The 24,316-nt window shown below is 41.6% G+C and overlaps 1 protein-coding gene and 1 long non-coding RNA gene across 4 annotated transcripts, besides 4 other annotated features; one reads left to right on the forward strand and one right to left on the reverse strand.

The window, feature by feature from the left end:
• Positions 1,565-2,520: an enhancer, noted in NCBI's record as "NANOG-H3K27ac hESC enhancer chr7:22850833-22851788 (GRCh37/hg19 assembly coordinates)". NCBI's record gives its function as "activates a minimal SCP1, AML or CMV promoter by ChIP-STARR-seq in naive H9 embryonic stem cells {active_cell/tissue: H9 hESC(naive)}" and the evidence as "EXISTENCE:reporter gene assay evidence [ECO:0000049][PMID:30033119]".
• Positions 3,325-13,200, reverse strand: TOMM7 (translocase of outer mitochondrial membrane 7). Of its 3 annotated transcripts, none has more exons than NR_168014.1 (3): positions 13,072-13,200; positions 8,351-8,399; positions 3,325-3,536 (listed from the first exon to the last, which is right to left on the reverse strand). NR_168014.1 is itself a non-coding variant. In NM_019059.5 (3 exons), the coding sequence occupies exons 1-3, from the start codon at positions 13,128-13,130 to the stop codon at positions 3,521-3,523; spliced, it is 168 nt and encodes a 55-aa protein (NP_061932.1). In that variant the 5' UTR covers positions 13,131-13,200; the 3' UTR covers positions 3,325-3,520. The 3 variants fall into 3 exon arrangements, 1 of the variants encoding a protein (NP_061932.1); NM_019059.5 differs by having other exon boundaries at positions 13,028-13,200; NR_168015.1 differs by lacking the exon at positions 8,351-8,399.
• Positions 12,681-13,441: an enhancer, noted in NCBI's record as "H3K27ac hESC enhancer chr7:22861949-22862709 (GRCh37/hg19 assembly coordinates)". NCBI's record gives its function as "activates a minimal SCP1, AML or CMV promoter by ChIP-STARR-seq in naive H9 embryonic stem cells {active_cell/tissue: H9 hESC(naive)}" and the evidence as "EXISTENCE:reporter gene assay evidence [ECO:0000049][PMID:30033119]".
• Positions 13,111-13,190: an enhancer, noted in NCBI's record as "active region_25709". NCBI's record gives its function as "activates an Ori minimal core promoter by ATAC-STARR-seq in GM12878 lymphoblastoid cells {active_cell/tissue: GM12878}" and the evidence as "EXISTENCE:reporter gene assay evidence [ECO:0000049][PMID:35858748]".
• Positions 13,221-13,430: an enhancer, noted in NCBI's record as "active region_25710". NCBI's record gives its function as "activates an Ori minimal core promoter by ATAC-STARR-seq in GM12878 lymphoblastoid cells {active_cell/tissue: GM12878}" and the evidence as "EXISTENCE:reporter gene assay evidence [ECO:0000049][PMID:35858748]".
• LOC112267993 (uncharacterized) lies at positions 13,308-24,194 on the forward strand. Its single transcript, XR_002956543.2, has 3 exons — positions 13,308-14,050; positions 22,113-22,229; positions 23,505-24,194. It is a non-coding gene; the product is annotated as an uncharacterized LOC112267993 (long non-coding RNA).
• Positions 24,195-24,316: the final 122 nt, after the last annotated feature.

The following is a 24,316-nucleotide window of genomic DNA, read 5'->3' on the forward strand; positions in this document are numbered from 1 at the left end:
GGAAAGGCTAATCAGAAACTCAAAACAATGCAGCCATTTGTCTCTTATCTACCTGTGACCTGGAAGCTTCCTACCTCACTTCGAGTTGTCCCACCTTCCTGGACCAAACCACTATTTATCTTACATATATTGATTGAAGTTTTGTGTCTCCCTAAAATGTATAAAAACAAGCTGTGCCCCAACCACCTTGGACACATGCCATCAGGACCTCCTGAGGCTGTGTCACAGGTGCACGTCCTTAACTTTGGCAAAATAAACTTCCTAATTAACTGAGATCTGTCTCCGATAATTGGGGTTCACACAAGATATTACCATTGGGGGAAACTGTAAAGGATACAGGGATCTTTCTGTATCATTTCTTACACTGTATACAACTCTACAATTTTCTCAAAATATGCTTAAAATAATGTTTGAGGAAATGAAACACACAGGCATACCCACATTGCTGGGCTTCATCACCAGTTTCTGATTCAGGTCTGGAGTAAGACTTGAAAATGTGCATTTTAACAAGTTTCCAGGTGAAGCTAGTCTGGGACCAGCTATGAAAATCACTTGTTTAGAAAATAATATCCTGGGGCAGGTATTATTGTTCCTATCTTGTGGAAGAAACCTAAAGATTAAGTGACTTCAGCCAAGCGCGGTGGCTCACGCCTATAATCCCAGCACTTTGGGAGGCAGAGGCAGGAGGATAGCTTGGGCCCAGGAGTTTCAGACCTGCCTGGGCAACACAGAGGCCTTGTTCTCCCCACAACAGGAAAAAACAAAAGTGACTTCACCAAAGGTTCTAGAACTGACAGGGCCAGGACTTAAATCAGGTCCTACCAGCTCAGTGTTTTTCCATGAGCTAATCAAGGTCAGGAATAATCTCAATCATAAGGACTCTCTAGTGTCTAGCACAGAACAGAAATCAATAAATGCTTGAATTGTACTGTCCTAAAAACTAAAACTCATAAAATGTGGGAGCTTAAACATTTCACAAACTTTATAATATATACATACACATTAAACTGTGTACTAGTCTCAGCTCTTAGGCTGTGCCCTGAAGAAGTGCTTAAACTCTGTTCCTAGCTTCCGTAGACCTGAGATCAGGGAGCTGGTTCCTTCCTACTTAATTCTGGATGCCTTATTTTAAAATCTTCTGAGGTTTTACAGATAGCTACAAGGTGTGAAAGGAAAATAAATCTCAGGACCCCCAAAATCACTAAGCCAAGAGAAAAGTCAAGCTGGGAACTGTCAGGCCAAACTTCCTCCTGTTTTATTTGTAAATAAGACAGCCACAAAGAAAAGAAGCTACATACCTCCCTCACAATTTGCCCACAGGAAATTTCTTGTGGACAAAGGACAGACAGAACTCAAAGTCATCCCTCTGAGACTCACCTGACACAAATGCATATGACTGCTTCCTCTGCACTATTTATGTAAAAATGCAGACTCATTGAGCCAGACTAAATTGTGTATTCAGGCTGACCAAGGACTCAAAAGAAAGCAACCTTTTGTCTCTTACCTACTTATAACCTGGAAGCCCCCACTTAGAGTTGTCCCGCCTTACCAGACCAAACCAATGTACATCTTAGACATACTGATTTATGTCTCACATCTCCCCAAAATGTATAAAAGCAAACTACGTACCCCGACCACCTTGGGCACACCTCCTCAGGACTTCCTGAGGCTGTGTCATGGGCGCATCCTTAACCTTGGCAAAATAAACTTTCTAAATTGACTGAAACCTGTCTCAGACATTTGGGGTTCACAAAGGTCATCCTTAAAAGAACACAACCAGATGGGGCGCAGTGCCTCACACCTGTAATCCCAGCACTTTGGGAGGCTGAGGCAGGCGCATCACAAGGTCAGGAGATCGAGACCATCCTGGCCAACACGGTGAAACCCCATCTCTACCAAAATACAAAATATTGGCCAACTGTAGTGGCATGCACCTGTAGTCCCAGCTACTCGGGAGACTGAGGCAGGGGAATCACTTGAACCCAGGAGGTGGAGGTTGCAGTGAGCCAAAATCACACCACTGTGCTCCAGCCTGGTGACAGAGCGAGACTCCATCTCAAAAAACAAAAAAATAAAAAATAAAAAAACCACAACCAGTTGTTTACCCTTCACATTACTATGTAATCAAAACAGATACCTGACACAGCTTTCTCAATTTCTGAAAATCCCAAGTGAGAAACAGAAGAAAAACGTATAAACAAAATACTTACTAAACAAAAATTCCCTGACAATGCACTTGGCAAAAAGGATTGGGGGGAACTACAAACTTAAGCAATTCTATGGAATTTTAATACAGTTTTCAGCAAAATTACACACGCCTAGATTCACAAAGATGCTGAAGCAGTTACGTTAAGTACTTACCAAAACTGATTTCCTGCAGTTAGCTCTCAAGAATTCCACTTTAAAATCCCTTTATGCAACAAGACACCACAATAGTCTTCTATGTCTCCATGGCAAAGGTAACAAGCCTTGAGGAAATAGGCTTAAATAGCTAAGAGGGTTTTACATTAGAAATAAGAACTTTCTGGTGATGGCAGCTCCCAGCACCTGAGAGGGATTATAGTCATGATCATGCCTAAACACTGGATGCTTAAAATATTCAACCCAATAGGCTCTTTCCAAACTGTCCGTTTCAGGTTCTACTTTCTTGTATTAGTAACAATGGCCAAACGTAGTAAATAACGCTATTTTGTTAGAAGAACGGAAAAAACTAAATAATAAAAGTAGGATTCAAATACAGGTGAAGGTCCCAGGAAACCAGTGTCTAGAACTGAAAACTAGTTTCCATTAATTAGCTGCCTTTCCTTCTACCAGAAAATAGTGCTACTATTCCATGTAGCTCTCCACGGGCTCTTGCCCAGCCAGCTCTAGTTTCCTAATATAACTGAGGGAAACTTTAGCCTCACATTTAACCTACAAATAAATCACACAACTCTCCAGTGCCATTCCCACCCCCTAGCAACAGAGCCGCCAGGACCTTTATTTCTTGCAGTCAGAACTTTAATGCAGAGGAGGAAGTAACAGCTTGGTTTGTCACAAACAGAACTATCTGTATTCTTACTACCTCGGAATATCCTAGAAGGAGTTATTAATTCACTGCAAAGGGAAACTGTAATCCATATGTTAGGTCAATGGGCAGGAATAACTTGGAAAAATTTTTTTATATCGTGATCCACCCGCCCTGGCCTCCCAAAGTGCTGGGATTTACAGGCTTAAATAGCACCTAGGTACACACATAAATTCCCTGTTTTGAGAAAGTACCAAAAGGCTTAATTTTTACCTGATAATCCTAGCATGTTCAATTCAAAAAAGACTCAAGCATAACACTGTTAAAAACATTTATTCTGATACATTCTATCATAAGTTAGTACAAGTTCCACTCTGCTACAGATGCGTCTGTGAAGAGCCTTGTGCCATCCAACTAGTGACTGAATGATGTCCCATCTCTTATCCGAGCCAGAGCACACATCTTCCATGCTGTCCGCTGATTGCCTCCAAATCCAGAAGACCAAATAATCCTTTATCCCCAAAGTAGGCTAAAATGTTTGTGAAGAGAAGAAAGAAATTAAATTCCGAAATAAAAATCTTCTAGACATAACCTAAGACCTAGAAAATTTTATACATTTATGTTTGTTTCCTCATCTATCAAATTCAGTTGTGAAAGACAAGGATCAATCCCACTGAACAAACAAATTAAATATACAGAACTGTATTCAAATACACTTTTCTTTTGAGCACAGTTACCTATCATAAACAAAAACAAAAATGTGAGCAGACATAAAATGAAGTCAATCAAAAGGAAAACGATTACTGATTTCCATTAACAGGTAGGCCTGATAAACCCAGAAAACAAAGCTATCTCATTACTAGATGCAGTATCAGTAATACTAAAATAACATTTATTGAATGGTTTCTGTGCATTAGACACTGAGGAAAGTTCACAACTCCCAACTACGATCCCTATTTTAATGTGGGAATTGAGGCTCTGAGATAGTTATATATCATTTAAGTGGGTAGAGTGCGATGTGGCCTAAGTGCCCTTACAACCATTAAGTTCCTGGGGAGCAATTAGCCTCCACTTCCACCTCAACTAACTCTTACCCCAAACATTCCAGCCACTAAGAAGCCCAAACTCCCAAATCATTTGCTGACTCCAATAGAGTGTAGGAAGGAGAAAAGAGATGGTTTCATTTCTAAATCCTGCTGCTTAAAAATGTAGCCCAGTTGAATAAAACTGCATTATTAAATGACACTGACAGTTTTGTAAAGTTTATTTTTAAAAAATATTTTCCCTGTGCCTAAGAAGAAAACACACATCTATTTCCAATTTTCAAATGTGTATTAAAATCGCCTCTTAAACCCTAAGTATTTTTGCACACAGTTAAGATATGAAAATAAATTATTGGCCAGGCATGATAGTTCATGCCTGTAATCCCAGTACTTTGGAGGCTGAGGTGGGTGGATCGCCTGAGCCCACGAGTTCGAAACCAGCCTGGGAAACATGGTGAAACCCTGTCTCTTAAAAAAAAAAAAAATACAAAAATACAAAAATTAGCCGGACTTGGTGGTGCATGCCTGTAATACCAGCTACTCAGGAGGCTGAGGCAGGAGAATCGCTTGAACCTGGGAGGCGGAGGTTGCAGTGAGCCGAGATTGTACCATTGCACTCCAGCCTGGGTGACAGAGCAAGACTCCGACTCAAAAAAAAAAAAAAAAAAAATTAGCCAGGTGTGGTGACGCGTGCCTGTGGTCCTGGCTACTCGGGAGGCTGAGGTGGGAGGACCACCTGAGCTCAGGAGGTCAAGGCTGCAGTGAGCCATGACTGCGCCACTGCACTCCAGCCTGGGTGACAGAAAAAAACACACAAAAAAAGATCTATGAAGGTCTCTTCTTCAATGGTAATGGGCAGCAAAAATATAAAAAGGAAATCTTGCTCAGCCTTATGCAGATAATGGAAATGATTCTCTTAACCTTGATAGTCACATATTTTGCCTAAATGTTTTACAAAGACACTGCCCCTTATATATTAAAGTACTTTTGAATAAGGCATTCATGTCAACCAATATTTGCTGACCACATACAATGAGTCATCCTGGGTGAAAGAGGATACTAAGATGAATGTGGTCCTAATCTCAAACAACCCAACAACCTGGCAAGGGAAACAAACTAGTAGATAATTAACTGTATTATTTACATAAGTATTATATAAACAATAAATATATGTAGAAACAACAGACTTTATATTAATAAACAATAAATTTTACGTTAATAAAAACCATAGCAGGTATAATTCTGTTCCTTTCAGAGTACAGATTAGGCAGCTCAGATCTCTCTAGTCACTCTTCCCAGTGCAGGGAGCACAGTACATGAAATTCCGTAACTGAGTAACCCTTTGCAGGCACTCACTCACTCAATTCTTTCCTAAAACACAAATGCCTCTGGAGGGAAACCAGAAGATGCTCTTAATGACAGAAAAGATCAAGAGGGTTAGTATCAGGAAGGAGAGAAGCACTGAGAAGACAATAAGATGAAGAAATGAAAAGCAGTAGGACAGGGATGCTTCATCTAGTCGCTGAAGGTTCAAATCTTGTTGGGATAAATGCAGCCCCAAAAAAGGACAACAGAAAGACACATTCTTGCCCCACTTCTGTATCCTAAATCACCCAGGGCACAAAAAAGTGTTATTTCCTAGCATGCAGGTCCAGCCTAAAATTTGTACAAGATGCAATGCTTTGTCAATTCCTGTCCAAAGGACCACCAAGACGGCCAGGTGCTGTGGCTCATGCTTATAATCCTAGCACATTGGGAGGCCCAGGTGGGAGGACTGCTTGAGCCCAGAAGTTCGAGACCAGACTGGGCAACACAGTGAGACCTTCTTGCTACAAAAAAAACTAAAATAAAATATAAAAAACCCACAGAAGACCATCAAGAGATGAGGGTCATTAGTTAATTCAATGCTTGTTGAGCAACTACTTTAGGTGCTTATGAGACAAAATATAGTTACAAGCATAATACAAGGCAGAGAATGACAGATACAAAAGGATACTATGGGGCTGGGTGCAGTGGCCCATGCCTATAATCCCAGCACTTCGGGAGGTCGAGGCAGGATCACTTGATCCCAGGAGTTTGAGACCAGACTAGGCAACAGGGCGAGATCCTGCCTCTATAAAAATTAAAAAAAAAAAAAGAAACTATGGAAACACAAAAAACAGAGTAGTTTTAGCTAGGAGGAAAGAAGGAAGAGATTTACAGAAGGGGCGACATTTGAGATTGGGCTTTTCTAGAAGCAGATTTCCATCCAGTGGAAACTAAGGGGAAAAAGCATTCCAGGCTGAGGGAGCACAAGCATAGGAACAAAGGCATAAAAATATATATAGTTTATTCTGGGACTTAGCATGCAGTATCATATAGCTAGAGCACTGTTTTCATAAGGAAATGGGGATAAAAAAGATGACACTGAAAAGGTTAAAAATTACTATTAATAGTTTACTGATCACGTATTACTTGACAAGTACTGCTAATACTTTATATATAATATTCAATGCTCATGGCTACCTTATTAGGTAGGTATTATTATCCCCAACTGATAAAAAGGGGAGATGACAGCTTAGAAAGGTTAATGGCTTCTTGGAGGAAGGTATTTGATGATAATTTCCAATACTTGGAAAATGTCCACACAGCTTGACTCAGTAGTCCTCTCTTATGTTTCCCAAGGTAATGTTTCTCTAAGGAAATAACTGGTCTAAGGCCAAGGCCACTCAACTAGTAGGCAGAAGATATATTACCTCAATCGCTATTTTACAGAAAAGAAAATTGATAGATCAAAGAGTAAGGGCTAAGAAAAAAGGACTTAGTGGGGAATCTCTGAAAACAGTTTCTAAAAGTCATGCCATAAACAGTTAAAGGAAGAGAGGGAGGTGAAGAAGGTAGTGTGTGAAGATCATTTGTTGAAAAACTTTATCAGGGAAAACAGAATAACTGCAGAAGTGAACAATTTGAAAGCACATATTGTAGTACCCTTTGAGAATAAAAAAGACCTTCCTCTGAAAAAGAAGAGAGCAGCAAGGCAGATGTGGTGGAGGAAATTCATATCAGATAGTATTGTGCTAAGTTAAGAAAGAGGTAAAATTACTTGGGGAAGGCCACATGATCCAGTGGAAAGAATGTGAGCTTTGGAAATAGAACATATTCCACCACCTACTGACTGTATAACCTGCTCTGAAGGACTGAAGTTGACAACTAGACACATTGCATAAAAAGCACCTAAAGCAGTGGCTGACACATTCTAGGTGATAGTGAATAACATATTTTCTGCCCACTCTAGAAAAACATGGCTTCGAGTAAAAGTTCGAAGAAAATGAATAAAGCCCTAGAATAGTCAGTGAACAGTCTGTGAGGGCAACCCACAAGAGATGTCTGAGACAGGATCAAGGAGAAATCCGATTCACTAGTGTGCAGTAGTCATGGTCATCATAGTGCCACAAGTATCAGTCGTTCCTCCAGAGCAAACCTGCCTGTTTGAGATTATACCTATATATATAATTTTCATAAGTATGCACATATACGCATACATATGTATATGAATATGTATACTGTGTGTGTGAAGTTTTCACAAGTGTTTACACATACCAGCAAGATCATTTCTGAGAAAGGAATCTGACAGTCAAGAGCCACAAATGCTCATACTTTATTAATCCCATGACAATTTATAAGGAAATCAAAATCTATAAAAGCTATGTACACACAAATGTTAATTATTTACTTTTTTTTTTTTGGTAGAGATGGGTCTCGCTACGTTGCCCAGGCTGGTCTTGAACTCCTAGCTTCAAGCAATCCTCCCATGATCTTCCCACCTTGGCTTTCCAAAGTGCTGAGATTACAGGTGTGAGCCACCACACCCTGCCCAAATGTTAATTGTATTGTTGTATAAAATACTGAAAAATTGAAAAACCTATGTAAACCGCAACTGGAAAACATATGGGACAGCCAACTAAAATTTTAGGTGAAAACAAAATCCTGCATACCCTTGTCAGAGCGATATAAAAGGTTGTATTCATCTGAATGAGGATAAGACGGGAATATGAGAAATTTAAAACAGTTCGTATTTTAAAGTGGTAGGATAATAAATTCTTTTTCTGTTAAAATATGCTTCATTGTAGTTATAACATGGTACAGTAAATACAAATTAGGAGGGGGAAGAGAAAGTAGTTGCAGTTTTCCAATAGCCCAAAACTATACTGACTGATAAAGCTCCATTTCAAGGCCTGCCACTATTACTCTTTTACATCTTAGTGATTCAGTACTACTGTATGAACATTTGTCCTGAAATGTTTAGTTTTAAGAGCAGTACCTCAAAACAGTTGGTTCAGGCATTCCGGGATCTGCACCCCTCTTAAATCCTGAATCAAGGAAGACAGAAGAGAAAAAATATTAATTAAAACCCCAGCAGACAAAACATTTACAATCAAGACTTTTTCTTCTTTGTAATCCAACCTAGGATAGTTAGAATGATATCTAGACCAACCAGTACTATCTAAATTTACCTACGCTACAGAAGTCTCCAATCTTCATTAGAGTATGAAATTATGTCCAGGACTAATCAGTAGGAAGAACAAGCTATCTTATTCCTTTCTTTTTGAGACAGAGTCTCACTCTGTCACCCAGGCTGGAGTGCTGTGGTATGATCTCGGCTCACTGCAACCTCTGTCACCTCTGCCTCCCAGGCTCAAGCTATTCTCCTGTCTCAGCCTCCTGAATAGCTAAGATTACAGGCACGTGCTGCCACACCCAGCTAAATTTTTTTGTATTTTTAGTAGAGACAGAGTCTCACCATGTTGGCCAGGCTGGTCTCAAACTCCTGACCTCAAATGATCCACCTGCCTCGACTTTCCAAAGTGCTGGGATTACAGGTGTGAACCATCATGCCCCGACGAAAACAAACAACTTTTTCAGTGAGCCACTGCACACGGCCATTATTCCTATTATATACACAATTGGCACAGTTGCCCTTAGCATGTTCTATCTTTCATTATTAGTCATTTACCCAGAAATAAGATACCACAACTCCCAAATTATACTGGATGAAAGACTATGAAGAGCAAAATGATTTTTGGAAAAACACACAACTAAACTTTTTAATTTTTTTAGAGACAAGGTTTCACTATACAGTTCAAGGCTGGTCTTGAACTCCTGGGCTCAAGTGATCAGCCTCCTCAGCCTCTCAAAGTGCTGGGATTACAGGCGTGAACCACCATGCCTGGAGGAAAAACTACTGAACTTTTTAAAAAACACAACTGAGGATATTTTATCCCCCATAAACCTCTCCTTTTATAAAACAAAGACCAATGATAGAAAAAGGACGGGGTGGAGGGCGGGGGGGTTGGCGGCAGGGGATGGATCATCCAATACTTATTATTTAACAACCTAATTAAATCAACTCGTTACAAGTATGGTTAAGTATATCTTTTACCATTTAAAATATATTTATAAATTAACCTGATGACATATATGTTCACTTGTTGAAGCAACTGACTAAGTTAGGGAGGTTTCAAGAACTATGAGGGGTCTGCAATTTTATCTTATTTAAAAGATAAAAAATAGTATATGTAATAGGGAATAAAAGTTAATATTTAAAAAAAAAATCTTCTGTGACTTAGACCATTAAAATAAATAAAAGATAACAAACTGGCCTGCCAATTTCACAGATGTTGGTATAAAACACTATTCTTTTTTTTTTTGAGACGGAGTCTCGCTCTGTCGCCAGGCTGGAGTGTAGTGGCACGATCTCAGCTCACTGCAACCTTCACCTACTCCCGGGTTCAAGCGATTCTCCTGCCTCAGCCTCCTGAGTAGTTGGGATTACAGGCATGCGCCACTACACCCAGCTAACTTTTGTATTTTTAGTAGAGACAGAGTTTCTCCATGTTGGTCAGCCTGGTCTCGAACTCCTGACCCCTGGTAATCCACCCGCCCCAGCCTCCTGCACATGTGGTGGATTGCACTGCAGGAGATTAACTGGAGTGTAGGGAACAAGAGTCTTTTATAATGGCCTGTAAGCATGTCTCTCTTTGCTCTGGCTGAAGGTACTATTTTCCAAGGCTCTTCTACAAACATCCTCAAAAGATAATATGGAACAAAGGGTCATCAGAGCCTCTGCTTATAAGATGTGCAGAAATGCAAGACACCATGGAGAATTGTCTTCCAACAAGCGGCTCATTAAAACCTTTTTGTTAGTAAATGTCCAGACAGATTCTCTATTATCGTGCCACTGCTTGTCATATTTTATAGCACTATACTCCCTGAAGCACTGAAAGTTATGATTGAACCTAAATTACACACAAAGTTAAATCCGCAGTTGCTGGTTTTAGTGAGAGTTGAGGTGGAGGAAGTAAAAGAACAACCTGGAGCCAGGTGTGGTGGCCCATTCCTATAATCCCAGCACTTTGGGAGGCCAAGATCGAAGATCACTTGAAACCAGAAGTTCAAGACCACCAGCCTGGGTAACACAGCAAGACCCTGTCTCTATTTCAACATGGGAACTGGTTTAGACATAAAATTAAATATACAGTATAAAGGAAAAGACAATGATAGACAAGTACTGGAAAGACAACCTTAACACCAATCTCATATAACTTGAATTGAATGTTGGGGTGAAAATCACCGTAACGGTAGTCCTAGGAAGGGAATATAGCCAGTGTGCATAAAATGAAAGATAAACTCTAGTATGGAAAAGGAATGCATTATCCACTCTTACACGAAGCCCCTGGCATGCAGATTGCAGCAACCAGCTACAGCTTTCTAGCAATAGAAACGGAATCTCAAAACAGGGAGGAGGAGGGAACAGTAGATGAAAAGACTTACAGAGAAGCAAAAAACCAAAGGGACACAAAAAGCAAGAGCACGCTAAAATAGGACCTCGTACACGCAGTGAAAAAAGGTGGCACAAAGAAGGGGAAGAATCAAGCTTCCACACCTCTCTTAGCTAAAAGGGGAGCTAGTCCCAGTGTTTGACCAGCCAGAGTAGGCCCTTCTATCAGTAAGTGAAAGAAGTGGGTGTGGGGGGAGGTGCTGCAAGAATAGTGGGGACAACACCAACTGTCATATTTACTCTAATCCTTGGTACCCATACAAAGTCACTAAAATCTAGAAAAGTAATGTTTTTTTAAAAAATTGCACCCAGAATAAGGGAGAAAAACGTCTTTTTAAGTTCTATAATCCCAGGTTATCAGTTGGCTTGCAACTCATGGAGAAATAGAAACCACAGCTGCTTAGTCAGAGTGTACTTTATCTTATACAATGCATGACACCTAAATTAAATAGGAAGCAGCACCTTGTTAAAACCATAGCATTTTAAAATGTGAAACTGAGTTTTACAATTGTCAAACTATATGCTCAAACTGACACAGCTGGGATGAAAAACCTGCTCTTTCCCTTTCACCGAACTGCCTGAGTGGGGCAGTAAAATTAAAAAGAAAAAACTTGGCCAGGCACGGTGGCTCACGCCTGTAATCCCAGCACTTTGGGAGGCCGAGGCGGGCGGATCACGAGGTCAGGAGATCGAGACCATCCTGGCTAACACGGTGAAACCCCGTTTCTAGTAAAAATACAAAATATTAGCCCGGCATGGTGGCGGGCGCTGTAGTCCCAGCTGTGCGGGAGGCTGAGGCAGGAGAATGGCGAGAACCCGGGAGGCGGAGCTTGCAGTGAGCTGAGATCGCGCCACTGCACTCCAGCCTGGGCGAGGCAGACCCCGTCTCAAAAAAAAAAAAAAAAAAGAAAAAGAAAAAACTACAGCCTGGCCGCGGTGATTCACACTTGTAATCCCAGCACTTTGGGAGGCCGCGCGCGGGGCGGAGGCCGGCTGGAGGGGAGGTAGCTAACTTGAGGCCAGGAGTTTGAGGCCAGCCTGGCCCACATAAGCAAAACCCCGTCTCTACTAAAAATATAAACATTAGCCGCGAGCGGTGGCTGCAAGTCTGTAATCACAGCTACTCGGGAGGCTAAGGGGGAAGGATCGCTTGATCCCGAGAGGCAGAGATTGCGGTGGGCAGAGATCGCGCCACTACACTCCAGCCTGGGCACACAGCGACTGTCTCAAAAAGGAAAAAAGGAAAAAAAAAGACAGAAAAGAAAAGAAAAAACTACAGAATAGGTCCCAGTCTGCAACCCTAACTGAAAAATATTAACAAATCCTTGCAGTAAGTGACCGAGCCTGTTGGCACCAGCCTGTAGTCCCAGCTACTTGGGAGACTGAGGTGGAAGGATCGCTAGAGCACAGGAGGGGAAGGTTGCAATGAGCCGGGATAGCGCCACTGCACTCCAGTCTGGGTGACAGAGCGAGACTCTGTCTTAAAAACAAAAACCAAAAAAACCCCAAATCCTTTAAGTGCGCTATAATGGTTAAGACTATGGGCTCTGATGCCCCACTGCCTGAGCCCCTAACTCCCTCAGTCAGCATAGCTGTGCGACCTTGGCAAAAAAGTTTCTCTACGGCTGTTTCCTCACCTGTAAAATGGGGGCAGTAATAGAAATCATCCAAACCCTTCATCGTACAGGTAAGAAAGCAGAGGCATCCAACGACTATTATTATAATCATGCTTTCATGGCAGTGGTACTTTCACGAGGTGTCTCGATTCCCTGAACAGGACTCTTTCCACTTAGGACCACATGGAGCGGTGAGGAAAAACACCCCGAGAACCACCTAGTGCTAGAGAGTGAATTAGTGACTTTCACATCCACTGGGGTCATCCAACCCTCCCTACAATCCCGAGAAATATGACCTCCACTTTAAGGATGCAAAAATAGAAAAGGAGGGATTGCAAGACTGCTTAAAGACCATGCAACTATAAAGCGATAGAACGGGAACTCGAACTCAGGTTAGATCGGCCCCACTTGACCAGACAGCCTCAGGGGCCGTGCACGGCAGTGTCCCCTATTTTTCTCTCCCTCCCCCGACGGCCAAAAATGGGGCTGCTGTCTCCGCCACCCTCTTCCCTCCAGTCACTTTCCCGGTTCTTCTCCCACTGACCCAGGTAAATCACAAGAGGGATAAAGCCCCAGCGAATGGCAAACTGGCTCCCCTTGAAGAGCTGCTGTAGTCTCTGCTTGGCCTCTTTGCTCAGCTTCACCATGGCGACGGCCGTGTGGCGCAGGGAGGACCCCTTACAGCAACCACAGCGTCGGGAATCCGAAAGGGAAAGGAGGTGCGCAGGCGCCACACACGGCCTTTACGGCAGGAGTCGTGAGCGTCGCCAGCAGAGGTCGTAATTCATCGCCTTTAACCTTCCCTGCTCTTCCGCCTCGCCGGCAGTAGTAGGCGCATGCGTGGTTGCGATCATGGCTGGCGGTAACTTCGCGTTTCTGTTACCCATTTTTAAAACGCATCTTCAGGTGTTCCTTCCTTCTCATGGAAGGAACATTAATTAAATTCAGAGGGACTGGGTTTTAGTCCTAACTCTTATTCCTACTGGCTGTGTAACCGTGGACAAATTATTTAACTTCTCAGAATCAGGTTGTTCAAACCTGAGGTTGAACTGCAAAAAGGTTACGAAGTGACACTCAGTAGGGCCCGAATCCATGTTTTCTTTGATCCCAATCTTTTTTAAAAAAATTTCTTTTAATTACTTGCCAACATTTTAGAATTTGGAAATCTCACATGAAATTCTGGACTTTTGAAGCTGAGGAATTCCATTGCAACAATCAAGGAGACTAAATAGGAAATGACACTTCTGTTTGGCCATCTTGCCCTCATTGGTTTAGAATGGCAGTGGTTCTCAACCCTGGCTGCACATTAGAATCACTTTAGGAGAGGTAAAACCATACTCACGCTGGAGACCTACTCCTAGAAATTCTAAAGAGTTTGGGGCTGGGAACTGGCCATTGATCTGCCTTTGAAGTTTCCCAAGTGATTCCCAACCTCTGATGTAATAAATTTCTGGCTGCTGTCGTATTTGAGATTTGACCCCCCCAGGTCTAAGACTTAATTGATTTTTAAGGCTGTAAGACATTTCTAAGACTTTGACTTTTAAGACTTTCCTGCCTCATTCTGAAGGTACGTAGTCGTTTTCTGTGCCCAATGTCTGTGCTCCTAAAAATTTCCCCTTGCTGACCTCTGTGGCTTGCGCCTGTAATTCTGGCTATTTGGGAGGCTGAGGCGGGAGGACCACTTGAGTTTGATGCTGCAGTGAGCTGTGATTGGGTCACTTGCTGTAAGCTCCCAAAGGGTTCACTTTGCCCGCTGCCTGGACAGAGCCGATTGATCAACACTGGGGAATTACAATAAAGAGTAATTCACGCAGAGCTGGCTGTGCAGGAGACCAGAGTTTTATTATTACTCAAATCAGTATCCCATAGCATTCGGGGATCAGAGTTTTTAAGGACAATTTGGTGCGTGGGGAGACAGCCAGTAAGTCGGAAGTGCTGATTGGTTGGGTCAGAGATGAAATCACAGGGAGTGGAAGCTGTCTTGTACTGCCTCAGTTCCTGGGTCGGGGCCACAAGATCAGATGAGCCAGTTTGCCGATCTGGGTGGTGCCAGCTGATCCATTTTGCAGGCTCTGCAAAGTATCTCAAGCACTGATGTTAGGCTTTACAATAGTGTTATTCCCAGGAGCAATTTGGGAAGGGTCAGAATCTTAGTTCCTGGGTTGGGACCACAAGATCAGATGAGCCAGTTTACCTATCTGGGTGGTTCCAGCTGATCCATTTTGCAGGGTCTGCAAAATATCTCAAACACTGATGTTAGGCTTTACAATAGAGTTGTTATCCCCAGGAGCAATTTGGGGAGGGTCAGAATCTTGTAGCCTCCAGCTGCATGACTCCTAAACCATAATGTCTAATCTTTTCGCTAATCTGTTAGCCTGTATACCAAACCTGCACATGCACTCCCTGAAACTAAAGTAAAAGTTGGAAAGAGCAAAAAAAAAAAAAGAAATAGTTTATGTTTTGGTGGAGCTCAGATAACAACAGCAAGGGACAATATAATGACTAAAAGCACAAACCAACTGTGTGATCTTTGATCAATTATTTAATATCTCTGAATCTCAGTTTCCTTACCTGTAAAATGAAGCCAACTATATATATTTAAATCCTTACAAAATTAGTAAAATAAGCTATAATGCACTGCAATCTTACAAATTCCTGTAAGGATTAAAAGAATTTTTTTAGGCAAGAAGGGGATTTGTTTAGGGAAAGGGCTGTTATCATCTTTGTTTTAAGCTATAAACTAAAAGTTCTTTCCAAAGTTAGTTCAGCCTATGCCCAGGAGTGAACAAGGACAGCTTGGAGGTTAGAAGCAAGATGGAGTTGGTGATGTCAGATGTCTTTCGCCGTCTCAGTTATAATTTTACAGTGGCAGTTTCATCACTACAATCCAGCCTGGGCAACAGAGTGAGACCACATCTTTAAAAACAAGAAAAAAAAATTCACCTCATATTATAGTGTTCTTCTGCTAGGCTCATCATCATGAATAATAACAACCTGTGTCTACTATGCCTGTCACTGTGTTAAGTGCTGAAAAATAGTTCTTTTTTTTTTTTTTTTTTTTGAGATGGAGTCTTGGAATGTCACCCAGGCTGGAGTGCAGTGGCACGATCTCGGTTCACTGCAAGCTCCGCCTCCCAGGTTCACGCTATTCTCCTGCCTCAGCTTCCCAAGTAGCTGGGACTACAGGCGCCTGCCACCATGCCCAGCTAATTTTTTGTACTTTTTTTTTTTTTTTAAGTAGAGATGAGGGTTTCACCGTGTTAGCCAGGATGGTCTTGATCTCCTGACCTCGTGATCTGCCCGCCTCGGCCTCTCAAAGTGCTGGGATTACAGGCGTTAGCCACCGCACCCGGCTGAATAATTGTTCTTTTAATCCTTACAGGAATTTGTAAGATTGCACTGCATTATAGCTTATTTTACTAATTCTTGTAAGGATATATATGGTTTCATTTCACAGATAAGGAAACTGAGATTCAGAGATATTAAATAATTGATAAAAGATCACACAGTTGGTTGCTCTTAGTCATTATATTGTCCCTTGCTGTTATCTGAGCTCCTCCAAAACAGAAGCTATTTCTTTTTTTTTTTTTTCTTTCAAACTTTTACTGTAGTTTCAGGGAGTGCATGTGCAGGTTTGGTATATGGGTAAATTGCATGTTGTGGGGGTTTGGTGCATAGATTATTTTCTCACCCAGGCAATAAGCATAGTACCTGATAGGTAGTTTTTGGATCCTCACCCTCTTCCCACCCTCAAGTAGGTCCCCATGTATATTGCTCCCTTCTTAGTGTCCATGTATTCAATGCAGAAACTGTTTCTCATCTTTTTATTCAAATACCTCATACATAGTAAGAATGCAGTGAATGTGGCACTTATCCTGCCAGATGGGCTAAAAATACCAAAGTCATTTGCCTTCCTCAAACATTCATTGAGCCTTATTATATGCTAGGCACTAGAGATATAAGATTTTTTTTTAAACTGCCCTTAAGAATATCATGGTTGAATGGAGAAACATGAGTAAACAGATGATTCCAATGTAATGTGAATATATATACTAAGTCCCACAATAAAGTTATGCTCAAAATTTGACAGAAAGGCAGAAGAAAGACAACTAACACTGCCTAGAGGAGTCAGGGAACTTTTGAAGAACCCCATGCAGTTAAACTAGAGAGAGGAGTAAATTTGAAAACCATTAAGAAGGTGAAATCAGCAGGACTTGTCGGCCAAATGAATATGTAGGGCAACATTGAAAGAAGTAGTCAAGGATGACTGTCAAGTTTTGAGCTTGTGTAACATACTGGGTTAATCTTACTCCTTGACCTCCACAAAGTCTAAATTATGTAGATTTGATCCAGGACAGGTGAGCCCTAAAGTGGGTCTTAGCCTGTGGGTTCTTGGCTTTACCCAGGGAAGAATTCAAGGCCAAGCTGGTGGTAAAAGAAAACAGCTTTATTAAAGAGGTGTTACAGCTCCATGACTGCTCCTGCAGATATAACAACTCAGGGCAGTTTTTCAGTCGTATTTATACCTACTTTTAATTACATGTAGATTAAGGCAGAGTTTATGCAGTAATTTCTAGGGAAGGGGTAGTAACTTTTGGGTTGTCATGTCACTGCCATGGAAAGGGGTGGTAGCTCCCCGGTGTTACCATGGCAACAGTAAACTGACATGGCACATAGCACACATGGCACATGGCACATGGGAGGTGTGACTTATGGAAAACTGCTTCCACCCTGTCCCTGTTTTAGCTGGTCCTCAATTTTGTCCAGTGTCCAAGCCCTGCCTCTGGAGCTCAGTCTTGCCTCCTACCTCACAGTAGAGATTCACCTCTACAGTAATTCCCACATATACAGTTGGAAATGGAGACAACATTATAATGGCCAAAAGTATGTTATATTCCTTGGATACATTTGTTGTTGAAGGAAAAAAGGTTGAGAACCTCTCTTCTATTCTTGATGTGCCCTCCTAGTTCAGCTCCTTATAGCCTAAACTATAATAGCTGGAAGCTATCTCGTCTACCAGCCTCTAGTCTCCACCTTTGCTATATACTCTATACACTGTAGTTAAGATCAGGCTTCTACATCATTGCTCTGCTCATGTCACTCCCCTGTTCAAACACCTCCAGTGAGTTACCAAGGGCTACCTCCCTAAATCTGTTTATCTTCTGAAAATAAGTGTACTTCTCAGAATATTATTGTGAGAAATAAAAAAGTTAATATATAAAAGATCTTTGCAAATTTTAGAGTATTAGATACATAGTAAGTAACATCATAGTCAATGATAAAAGACAGTACCCAGAAAGTGCTAAATGAGTGGAATCAACAAAAAAAAAAATTAAATGTGTTAAGAGGGGAGAGCTAGCCTTATGAGCTAAAATACTCAGGAAAAACTTCACAGAGAGCATAGTTGGTCTTGATGAGCGTTTACAGATCCAGAAACTCAACTTTATCTGGTTGAGACAAGATTGAGGTAGGAGGCAGGACTTGACTCCAGAGGTGGGGCTTGAACTCCAGACCAGATTGAAGACTAACTTGAAACAGGGAAGAGGCAAAAGCACCTCTCCATAAGACATGCCCACAAGTACCATGTCAGTTTACCATTGCTATAGCAACACCTGGAAGTCACCTCCCCTTTCTGTGGCAATGACCCAGAAGTACCACCTTCTTTTCTAGAAAATTCTGAATATCCACCCCTTAATTTGCATATAATTAAAACTGGGTATAAATATGACTGTGAAACTGCCCCTGAGCTGCTACTCTGGGCACACTGCCTGTGGATTAGCCCTGCTGTGGAAGGAGCAATACCTCTGCTGCTCCTGTACACTGCTGCTTCAGTAAAAGTTGCTGTCTAAAACCACCAGCTCACCCTTGGCTTCTTTACTGTGTGAAGCCAAAAACCCTCTTGGGCTTGGGGCTTGTGTGCCCTACATCAAGATGGTCTCCTTTCCTTCAGCCTTGACCTTCCAGTCTCCAATTTTCCCTCTAAACTTCATATCCCGGAAAAAGAAAAAGAAAGAAAGGGAAAGAGAAAAGAAGGAAGGGAGGAAGGAAGGGAGGGAGGGAGGGAGGAAGGGAGGAAGGAAGGAAGGAAGGAAGGAAGGAAGGAATTAAAAGAAAAGAAAACCTCCAGTACTGAATCATGGCCTAGCGCAGTGTCTCATGCCTGTAATCTCAGCACTTTGGGAGGCTGAGGTGGGTGGATCACCTGAGGTCAGGAGTTCGACACTGGCCTGGCCAACATGGCGAAACCCCATCTCTACTAAAAATACAAAAATTAGCCAAGTGTGGTGGTGCATGCCTGTAATCCCAGGCTACTCGGGAGGCTGAGGCATGAGAATCGCGTTGCAGTGAGCCGAGATCACGCCATTGCACTCCAGCCTGGACAACAGAGCAAGACTCCATCACAAAAAAAAAAAAAAAGAAAAGAAAAAAAAGAAAGAAAAAGAAAACCTCCAGTACTAAATCATTAAAAGATATTTTAAAAAAACATGCATGGCCAGGTGCAGAGGCTCATGCCTGTAATCCCAGCATTTTGGAAGGCCGTGTTGAGTGGATAACCTGAGGTCAGGAGTTCGAGACCAGCCTGTCCAACATGGCAAAACCCCGTCTCTACTAAAAATACAAAAATTAGCTGGGTGTAGTGGCATGCGCCTGTAATCCCAGCTACTCGGGAGGCTGAGGCAGGAGAATCGCTGGAACCCATGAGGCAGAGGCTGCAGTGAGCCGAGATCGCACTACTGCACTCCAGCCTGGGCAACAGAGCAAGACTGTCTCAAAAAACGAAAAATACGTATAAGCAATTCCTATATTAGAAATAATAATAATGAAATTATGATATATTTGTGGTTAGTATGTGCATAGAAAGAAATCTAGAAAAAATGTACTCTAAACTGTCAGTAGGAGTAATTATCTCAGGAGATAAGGAAGGGAATTACTGGAAATCTTTACTTTATATAGATATATATGCTTTACTTTATATATATACACTTATATATATACACACACATACCCACACACATATGTATCTAGATAAATATATATATTTGTAATGTGTTCATTGCTTTTTATAATGAGCATATATGATTTGTCATCAGAGAAAAAAAAAAACAATAAAGGTAGATAGATCTTTAAACCAAATAAAACCTTCCAGGGGCTCTTTATTGTCTTTACGACAAAAGATTAAAATCCATTTACAAGCTACATGGTCCCTGAAGGCATCATGCTGTCTCATCTCTGCTGTTACCTCTGCCAGAAATGCCTTCCCATACCCCTTGCTTTTTACGATTCACTCAAGTATCTCCTCCAAGATGTCATCTGTGACCTGTCCCTACCCCTGCACCAGCCTAGAGCAAATTGAGCACTTCCTCCATGGTGACTCCTACTCTATCTTATTCTCGCTACCATCTCAAGCTAACTTAGATCCTTGACTATCTCCCCCAAGTAAACTACAGATAAAGACTCTGTCTCATTCATTTCATATCCCCATTGACTGTGTATATAACACTTGTGGAACTGGTGAATGAATTTCATCAGAAACAGCCTTAGTTTACCATGCTACTTAATCTTCCATAAAGTGGGTATCTAAAACGCTTATTTGTAACTTTACCCTTAGAGATATCCTGAGAATAAAAGCTGGCATTCTCCATTCTGGTGGGCAAGAACACTCAAGCAACCAATTATAATGTTAACTAATACTTCCTGGGTGTTTACTAGTAGTATATGATGCACTGTGCTAAGGCCTCACACGCATTAACTTATGGAATCTTCGCAACCCTGTGAGGCAGGGACTGTATTATCATTCTCATTTTATAGATGAGGAACTGAGGCATGGGAAGGTGAAGTAAATTTGTTTTGTCCAAGGTCAGCTAGTAAGGGGTAAAGACAGAATGGAAACTCCAGCGGTCTTACTGCAGAACCTCAATGTTAACCATAACACTATTTTGCCCTATAGGTGAGAAATAAACATAGAAATAGAAGACAAACCTTTATATGTTCTCAAAGAATATTTTCCTTTAGCTATGATAGATAAGAGACCTGTTTTCATGGTACTATAGTGGCACATATGATTAGACCAAAAGCTGGTTGGGGACTTAAGGGGTGGGTGCTGACTACCTGAACCAATCAGATCCACTGTAAGTGAGATTTGTACTCAAGATAGAAAGAAATACATTTGACTGAAGCTAGTTAGACAGAGAGACTAGAAGACATGAAGCAATAGAATCCACCAGTGGGCAGAGAATACCGAGTTATAGTGATATCAAAGCACAGGAATGGAGAACAATGTGCTTTCTGGGCAGCAAGATAATCCCACCCTAGAGTTTGCTACGTGCTGAGCAACCTTTCATTCCCCAGCTATGGTCCAAAGTTGGTAAGTCTGGCTGTGACATGATTCCTGGGAGGTTTTTTTTGTTGTTTTTGTATTTTTTTTTTTGGAAGGGGTAGGGGGACAGAGTCTCACTCTGTCACTCAGGCTGGAGTTTAGTGGTGCGATCTTGGCTCACTGCAACCTCAACCTCCCAGGTTCAAGCAATTCTCCTGCCTCAACCTCCCGAGTATCTGGGATTAAGGCACCACCACCATGCCTGGCTAATTTTTGTATTTTCAGTAGAGATCGGGTTTCACCATGTTGGCTAGGCTGGTCTTGAACTCCTGAACACAGGCGATCTGCCCACCTCAACCTCCCAAAGTGCTGAGATTACAGGTGTGAGCCACCATGCCCAGCCAATTCCTGTTTTTTTTTTTGATGTAGAGAAAAGTAGAATTTTTCTCTGCTAGTACATCAAGTACTGAATGTATAATTAAGTACATTATAACCCCATGGTCTCTGCTAATTACAAAATAACAGAAGAGAGGTAAAAGCATCAAGGTGAGAAACCCAGGTGGGGAATCAACTGTCAGGATTTCACTAGCACCATCCAAGGAAAAGATGCTACCAGCTCTGTTGTATTATTTTTAAAAATATGGCTGGGTGTGGAGGCTCACACCTGTAATTCCAGCACTTTGGGAGGCCAAGGCAGCTGGATCACCTGAGGTCAGGAGTTCGAGACCAACCTGGCCAACACGGCAAAACCCCGTCTCTACTAAAAAAATAATAATAATAATACAAAAATTAGCCAGGTGTGGTGGCAGGTGCCTGTAATCCCAGCTACTCAGGAGGCCGAGGCAGGGAGAATTGCTTGAACCCAGGAGGTGGAGGTTGCAGTGAGCCAAGATTGTACCATTGCACTCCAGTCTGGGCGACAGAGCGAGACTCTGTCACAAAAAAAAAAAAAAAAAAAAAAAAAAAAAACAACTTCCAGAGAGGATAAAATAGTTGAACTCTTTAGGTCGTAAGGAAAAAAGAAACCTGGGGAAATATAGCTGGTGGATATTTCTGACTGCACAGACAGGCTTCACAGAAGAAAAGAAACCACTTCTTTGAATATCTATTTCCACATCTGCAAAATGGAAAGAGTAACTACCTGTTATAGACTGAATTGTATCCCTCCAAAATTTATATATCGAAGTTCTAACACCCCAATGTGACAGTATTTGGAGCTAAGGGCTTTAAGTAGGTAATTTCAGTTAAATGAGGTCATGAGAATAGGGCCCTAATCCAATGGGAAAATCTTTCTCTCTCCACACGTGCACAGAGAAAAGGCCACATGAGGACACCATGAGAAGGCAGCTGTCTACAAGCCAGGAAGAGAGTCCTCACCAGAAACCAGCTCTGCTGGCACCTTGAACTTGGACTTCACGCCTCCAGAACAGTGAGAAAATAAATTTCTGCTGTTTCAGCCGCCCAGCCTGTGGTATTCTGTTATGGCAGCCCAAGCTGACTAATACACTACCTAATAGTGAATGAGAAGAATTAAATCAGAAAATATAAATGCATTAATAAACATACCATGTATTGGGCACCTCCCTGTGCCAGGCACTTCACCATCATCTCTAGTCCTCCAAAACACATGCTGTTTGCACCACATCATGCTGCCAGGCACATAGTTGGCTTGTTGATTTGTGTGTGTGTGTGTGACAAGATCTCATTCTGTCGCCCAGGCTGAAGTGCATTGGCATGATCATACTCATTGAAACCTCCAACTCCTGGGCTCAACAGATCCTCCTTCCTCAGCCTCTTGAGCAGCTATGACAATGGGCATGCACCACCACATCTGGCTAATTTTTTTTAAATGTTTTTGTAGAGACAGGGTCTCACTGTGTTACCCAGGCTAGTCTCAAACTCCTGACCTTAAGCAATCCCCCGACCTCAGCCTCCCAAAGTGCTGGGATTATAGGAGTGAGCCACCACACCCGGCCGGCTTGTTGAATTTGGGATATGAATATCATAGTCTTATTAACACCATGTTTATAAGCCATAATTGTCTTTATGAATGTATTCATTTTGGAAAAGTAAGTACTAAGGATGTTCAGCTTTCTGTGCTATGGATTATTATGTGTGGAGAAACAAGAAAATGAGTCACAGTCCTCACTTAAATATTTTACCATCTAGTTAGAGATGAAGACAAGTATATTAATGTTACTGGCCCATATGACTATCTTTGGAAAAACAATCATATAAAGTCAAGATTCAGCACAGGGACCCAGGGTCCAAAAGATTTGCATTTGACTCCCAGCTCTATAACTTAGCCGTGTGATCACAGTCAAATTGCTTAACCTCTCCCTTTTCTCATCTGCAAAACAGGGAAATAATAGCACCCACCTCCATCATTTATTATACACAAAGAGATAATATGCCTGAAATATATCTAGCTAAATAAAGACCTAATCAAATGTAAGCTGTGACTATTACCGTTTGTTGTTTGCTTCCTGCTTTTTACTATTGCAATTTCTAAGATCAGCCTTTTTCAAAAGATTTTTCTTTCATCTTAAGGCTACCTGGGAACTGACTGTACCTACTACATACACCGTAACATGTATGTACTATATACAGCCATAATGGGGCAAGGAAAGAAAATGGAATGTGTAATATAAGAATAATGGCATATAGTCCTCAAAGACTGTGTTTTATATTTTGTCTCCATTAGATATTAACACAGTGCTATGTAATGGAGGAAACCCAAGAAATATTTTTTGCCTTGAAGAAAAGAACACAAACTCAGAAGTCACATGGATCTAAGATAAGACTTGCAAAGATTTAAATTCAATTCTGCCATTTACTTCATATGAGGACCTTGAGAACCAGTTGATAGCATATCAGAAAAGCTAATTAATTTGCCATGGTTACCAGGAAAACAGGGCCTAGTCTCCAAAGTACAGCCAAATAGAGGAGCCAAATAAAAAAGAGGGAAATTTTTGTCATGCATCTTGTTTTTCTGAAATGTTATGTTTTAAAATATATCAATATTCAAAACACCATGTGCTTTATTGAGTTTTAACTCTTAATTTTGTCCTCTTTTTTCTGCTAGGGTGTTTTTGAGCAGACAAACAATTTCTTATTGCCAGGATACAGCCTGGAACTCTTAAGCACACCAGGCAAGCATATGTATGAAATAAAATTTCTACAAAGAAGAGATTCGTCAAAAAGCATCACTGGGACACCAACCAAGTGTAAGGCTCTGTGAGGAAAAGGGAATTTCAGAAAACTGTCATACCCAGCCACTGCCAGTGAGGATATGGTAATCTTCTTTGGGGACAGAGTGCACATTCCCCTGATAAGTCTAGAAAGCATAGGATTAGGGCCCAGTGTCGGGCAGACAATACATATTACAGGAATTTAGGAGAGAGGCAAGTCACAAAAGGCTGAAGAGTTCAGGGAAAACCTCACAGAGGTGAGCCAGGGATGATTTCTGATGGCTGGAGAAGAGGAAAAGAAGAAATGTCACAAAGTGCACCATTA

The sequence above is a fragment of the Homo sapiens genome, chromosome 7 (assembly GCF_000001405.40).
Source record: "Homo sapiens chromosome 7, GRCh38.p14 Primary Assembly".
Classification (NCBI taxonomy): Eukaryota; Metazoa; Chordata; class Mammalia; order Primates; family Hominidae; genus Homo; species Homo sapiens.

Bases quoted from the DNA above. Each gene is read 5' to 3' on its own strand.
- TOMM7 (NM_019059.5), bottom strand. From the start codon at position 13,130: ATGGTGAAGCTGAGCAAAGAGGCCAAGCAGAGACTACAGCAGCTCTTC. The intron at 8,400-13,027 runs GTCAGTGGGAGA...TCCTTGATTCAG, and splicing joins CCCTCTTGTGATTTACCTGG to GATTTAAGAGGGGTGCAGAT.